General features: G+C 53.8%; 1 long non-coding RNA gene across 2 annotated transcripts in view; it reads left to right on the forward strand.

The window, feature by feature from the left end:
* The window catches only part of LOC105376289 (uncharacterized), a 27,937-nt gene extending 22,236 nt beyond the window's left edge, over positions 1-5,701 (forward strand). Inside the window, exons 1-2 of one of the 2 annotated variants that reach the window (XR_007061812.1) lie at positions 4,599-4,698; positions 4,863-5,701. This is a non-coding gene — a long non-coding RNA (uncharacterized LOC105376289). Of the gene's footprint in view, positions 1-4,598; positions 4,699-4,862 lie in introns of those variants that run through there. The other variant, XR_007061813.1, reaches the window with a different exon arrangement.
* The last annotated feature ends 299 nt before the right edge of the window (positions 5,702-6,000 follow it).

Genomic DNA, 6,000 nt, shown 5'->3' on the forward strand with positions numbered 1-6,000 from the left:
CAAGAAAAATCTTTTCCTCCCCGGCCTCTAGCTGTCAGGAGCCCGCCATGAAAAATAGGGGAGGGTCATTTTCACACCCTCCCCCATTCCAGATGTGGCAGGAGCAGGAAGGATTTGTGCCAGATGTTGGGGTCTGCGGGCCCAGCAAGTTGCCTGGGGCTCTGCTATTGAAAAGTGAACCTTAACTGGGTTGGCTGCGCTAGCGGTGATGGCCGTGAGATCCTGGGGGATGTGCTCCGTGGCCCTGGTCATGTCTGAAGGGAGAGGCAGGGAGCCCAGGCCTCACTGTCAGCAGCACCTGACTTTTGCTTCCACGGTCACCCTGGCAGATCCTTCTCAGCCTGCTTGACTCAGGGCATGACTTCCCTGCCTGGATCCCAGGCTTCCTACCCTGCCCCTCGGGCCCCTGGACTTCTCCAGAGTGTTCTGGACACGAGTGGTCCAGCAGAAATGAAGCTCCTTACCCCACTGAAAACGTCGGGTGTCTGTGCCCTGGGTGAGGATGGCACCCAGTGTGGCCTCATCCCCCAGATCAGAGGCCTGGCTCTGCTGGGGTTTGTCTTTGATTAATAAAAAATGGGGAAGCAAATCAATTAGCCCTTCACAAATGCAACTCAGATGGCAGGAAAAAAAATCTCTCATGATGCTTGGGGGCCTCTTCTTCACAAAAAGATGGGAACACACAGAAAGTGTTGGCCCGAGACCCCCGCCTCCCATCCTGATGGGAACTGCACACGTGCTTGAACAGGGAGAGGACACTGAATATGTACAGATTAAAAACTTAGGGTATGTGGGGCCATGGGGGTGCGGGGAGGGGTGAGGGGGGCGTTTGTTCTTCAGGAGCCCCTTCTCCACTGGCAGCCCTGGCTCCTGAGGACCAGGCACAGTCTTCACCTCTCTTCACCTCTTTGATTGAATTTCAGGGTCGATATTCTGGAAGCCAAGTGGTTTCTCCAGATGTCTGCTGGCTGTGTTGGAATCTCTGGAACGCTGGCTAAATGCAGATTCCTGGGCCCTCTTGCTCTGACATCCTGATACGTGGAATCCAAGGTGGGGCCCAGGAGTTTGGATTCTTTTTTTTTTTTTTTTTGAGACGAAGTCTCTCTCTGTCGCTCAGGCTGGAGTGCAGTGGCGTGATCTTTCACTGCCAGTCTGCCTCCCAGGGTCAAGCGATTCTCCTACCTCAGCCTCCAGAGTAGCTGGGACTACAGGTGCATGCCACCATACCTGGCTACTTTTTTTGTATTTTTAGTAGAGATGGGGTTTTGCCATGTTGGCTGGCCTGGTCTCAAACTCCTGACCTCAAGTGATTTGCCCACTTAGGCCTCCCAAAGTGCTGGGATCACAGGCATGAGCCACCATGCTCAGCCAGGAATATGGATTTTTAAGCAGCTCTTGAGGTAGTGGTGGTGGGCACTGAGTGGAGACCACTGCTCCAGAGTGGCGGGCAGCAATGGAGCCTCGAGCTCACAGCTCTGGAGTCTGCCAGATCGGGGTCCGGTCCCAGCTCCACTCTGACTGCAGGACATCTGTGATGTCCCCTTTCTAATCCTTGGGTCCTTGTCTGCAGAATGGTGATAATACCAGCCTCCTCAAGGGGTGCAGATAGAGAGCATGCTGTTCAGTACTGGGTAGCTGTTATTATTACTTTTATTGTTATTGGGAGGGAAGGAGGAGGAGGTGGCTGCTTTTGAGTTTTTTGTTTGTTTTATTTTTATTTTTTGAGACAGAATCTTGATCTGTCACCCAGGCTAGAGTACAGTGGCACGATCATGGCTCACTGTAACCTCTGCCTCCTGGTTTCAAAAGATTCTCCGGCCTCAGCCTCCCGAGTGGCCGGGACTACAGGCGTGCGCCACCACACCTGGCTAATTTTTGTATTTTTTGTAGACATGTGATTTCACCATGTTGGCCAGGCTGGTCTCGAACTCCTGACCTCAAGTGATCCACCCACCTCGGCCTCCCAAAGTCCTGGGATTATAGGTGTGAGCCACTGCGCCTGGTCTGCTTTTGAGTTTTTTGATTGCTGTGGAAATGCCTCTCAATACACAGTATGGGCGAGGTGCCCTTCTCCCTACACGCAGGGAAACCTGCGCCCCAGAATCAGGGCCTCATCAGAGCTGGAGACTCACCCAGGGCCTAGGGGTGTGGCTTGGAATGTCTATGGGGTGGGGTGGGCCGGGTGGTTACCCCTGTGGGAGGAGGGTTGGGGATGCACGGCAAGGATGGGCACGACAGGACCCCCAACCCTGCTCTAGAGAGCCCTCCAGGCCCCCTGGGCTGGGGGACCGGCTTTCTCCTTCTGCCTGGCCATTTGACTGTTGCGCAGTGCAGCTCCTTGTGATGCATTAGCTTGTCTGTTTCCTCTTTGGGCCGAGTCCTCTGAGCAGGGCCCTCTGTCTACTCTTTACCCTCTGGCCAAAGCAGAGGGTTTCTGTCCTCCAGACCTGGCCTGCAGATCCGCCATGGGGGTGAAATTGGGACATGGGTGTGGCTGTGTTTACCTGCCCAGCACCCCACCCTCTCAGTCACCCTCAGGTCCCTTTTTGAAGTGGTCCCCTGTCCTTCAGGAGCACACCTGTCATCCCAGGCTGGCCAATCAGCACATGGTGAGCATGCAGTCATGTGACCCAAGGCAGGCCAGTGAGATGCAGGCCTGGGACCTGGGAGCAAAGAAAGGGGAAGGGAAGCTCTCTTTTTGCCAGGGAGCCTAGGCTGGTAGGATACAAGGTTGGAATTGCCAGGGTCAACTGTGTGGGCAGCCTGCGCAAGATGAAGCCAACACTAGACAGCAGAGCTGAGAAATTGACAGGGGATGGCGGGAGGGAGACATTGTTTGAACACCTGTGTATTAGTCCGTTCTCACATTGCTGTAAAGAAATACCTGAGACTGGGTAACTCATGAAGAAAAGAGGTTTAATTGGTGCACAGTTCTGTAGGCTGTACAGAAAGCATAGTGCTGGCATCTGCTTGGCTTCTGGAGAAACTTACAATCATGGCGGAAGGTGAAGGGGAAGCAGCCATGTCACATGGCCAGAAAAGGAGCAAGAGAGAGAGAGAGAGGGGAGGTGCCACACACTTCTAAACAACCACATCTCATGAGAACTCACTCAGTATCACAAGAACAGCACTAAGAGGACGGTGCTAAACCACTCATGAGAAACCCATCCCCACGATCCAGCCACCTCCCACCAGGCCCCACCGCCATCATTGGGGTTGACAATTCAACGGGAAATTTGGGTGGGGACACAGATCCACACTATATCAACCCGGATCCAGCCTTGCCTGACACGGTCTATCCCTTTTGGCTTAGGACAATTTGAGTTGGCTTTCTGTCCTTGCGACTAGTTCTGATGAATGCAGAAAGCTTATTTCACCCATATGTCTGTCCTTCTGTCTACCTATCCATCCCATATTTACTGAACACCTGCTCCGTACCAGCCCCTGTTCTGGGGCCTGGCCCCAGCCCTCCGTTTGAAGGGACAGGTGACAAAGTGACGAGCCTTTTAGAGCATGGGACACTAGGAGCTGCTGCAGAGGTGAGCCCTGGTGGCTGTGGCTGTGAGAGTCTTTGTGTTGTGGGGAAGGGGAATCCAGGCAGGCTTTGTGGAGGAGGTGATCTCTGGGGTGGCCTTGGAGGCATAGGCAGGATTTTACTAGTTTGGGAGTCTGGGAGGGGATCTTTCAGAGCAGAAGGCATCAAAAAGACAGGTAGAAAAGACCAGGAACACTGGAACCCGGCTGCCTGGGGTGGAGGGGTTGGGATTTTATAAACGGTTGGGTCTATATAATAGTCATACCTGCTCACTGCCACTACTGGTCATAAAGAACCAACATCTGTTGAGAAGCACCACGCTAGCACTTGATGTTTATTTTCTCATTAATTCTCTCCACCTCCCTTGAGGGGATTCATGGGTACTATCTTCATTTTGCAGGTGAGGAGGAGATGGAGACTCAGAGAGGTGGCGGCCTTCTCAAGGTTTTGCAAACACGCATGTGGCCCAGCAAGTCTCTCTGACTTTGACCCCAAGTTCTTTTTTGAAAAAAATTAAGTTAATTATTTTTTAGAGACAGGGTCTCTGTCACCCAGGCTGGAGGGGAGTGCAGTGGTGTGATCATAGCTCACTGCAGCCTTGACCTCTGAACTCAAGTGATCCTTCCACTTCAGCTTTCAGAACATCTGGGACTATGGGCATGCGGCTCCATGCCCGACTTTTTTTTTTTTTGTTAGCGATGAGGCCTCACTTTGTTGCCCAGGCTGATCTCGAACTCCTGGACTCAAACAATCCTCCCACCTCAGCCTCTCAAAGTGCTGGGATTATAGGCGTGAACCACCTTGCCGGGCTTGACTCCAAGTTCTTAACTGCTCAGGCCCACACAGGCCCTTTTGCAGCTCTGCATCTCTGGCCACGCCTTGGAGGAGGTTGAGGTGGAGGCCACAGAAGCAGCCCTGGAGAGTTCTGGAGTTTCCATTGCTGGGGGCCATAGAAAGAGGCTTGCCCTGTAGGCTCCCAGGATCAGCTTGGAGTCTGTCACGTTGATCGCTGTGGGACCCTCCCACCCCCTGCTCTCCTCCAGCCTGGCCCCTCCCACTTCCTGTCTTCCCCACAGCCGCCCCTGTGATGGAACATTTGAGGGTACATCTGCCCAGGCCTCTCTGTTGCTGAACGGCCTGGAATGGCTCCCTATTGCCCTTGGGTAAAGTTCAGACCCTTCCCCTTGGCCTGCAGGCTCTACCTTCTCCTGTCCGGCCTGCCTCTCAGCCTCTTCTCTGGAGCCCAGCCTCCTGCGGAACCATGGCCACCCTCCCCCTGAGTCCCTGGGAGCCACACCCCTTTCAGCATTTCTTTCTTACTCTCTAGGAGCCGGCTCAGGTGTCTCTCCCTCCAGGAAGTGGGGCTTGTGCCCTTTGGATACCTGCACTCCCCATCACCGCACTCCCCATCGTGGCACTTCCCTTGTTGCAGTTTTATGGAGTGTGCGTCTGGCTCTCCAACTAGACTTGAACCGCTTGAGTGCATAACTCGGGACTTGACCATTTGCGTCTCCCTACGGCCAGCTCAGCCTCCGCACACAGGGACCTGCAGAGAGTGGATGTAGCCACTGCCCCAGCGTCCCTGGGCTCTGAAGAGAAGCCATTGCCCTTCAAGAGCCACCCTCATTTCCTGGGCACTGGTTGGAAAAAACGAAGAAAAAGAGACACCCAGCTCACCTCCAAGTTTGCCTGCAGGTGAATATCTTGTTGAAAGAGAGGGGACTCCCTGAGTCTTGCTGGGTTGAGGAAGCTGATTGGATTTCCGGACTCAGAGGAGGGCTGCAGAGAGGGAGGAATGGGGGGGATGGGCAGCTGGCTTTCTGGATGGGTGCAGGACAATGACATTGATGGGGAAGCTTGGGGTGGCTCTGCCGTTGCCCACTGCTTGGCTGGTGAACTTGCTACATCTTGGCCAGCACTATCCTCTTCTGGCCTGCACCCTGCCAGACACAGGCAGTACCCCAAATACCCTGTCCCTGTGCCCCGAAGTCTCCATGACCTTCAGATCCCAAGGGACAAGTGGCTCCACGAGGCAGGGCCTGTCCCTCTGGCTCACACTATGGAGTCCACAGAACCTAGCCCGGAGCCTAGTGCACAGTAGGTGCTCAATGTATTCTATTTGAATGTTGCATGAGTGAATAAATGCAGGAATGTCAGGCTGGAAAACAGGTATTTGTACACCTGTTTTCATAGCAGTGTTATTCACAGTAGTCAAAGGGTGGAAGCATCCCACGTGTCTGCTGATGGGTGAACGAGTAAACAGAATGTGCCCCAGCCATACAATGGAATGCGATTCAGCCTTTTTTTTTTGAGACGGAGTCTGGCTCTGTCACCCAGGCTGGAGTGCAGTGGCACGACCTCAGCTTGCTGCAACCTCTGTCTCCCGGGTTCAAGTGATTCTCCTGCTTCAGCCTCCTGAGTAGCTGGGATTACAGGCATGTACCACCACACCTGGCTAATTTTTA

Source organism: Homo sapiens, chromosome 9, assembly GCF_000001405.40.
Source record: "Homo sapiens chromosome 9, GRCh38.p14 Primary Assembly".
NCBI classification, from domain to species: Eukaryota; Metazoa; Chordata; class Mammalia; order Primates; family Hominidae; genus Homo; species Homo sapiens.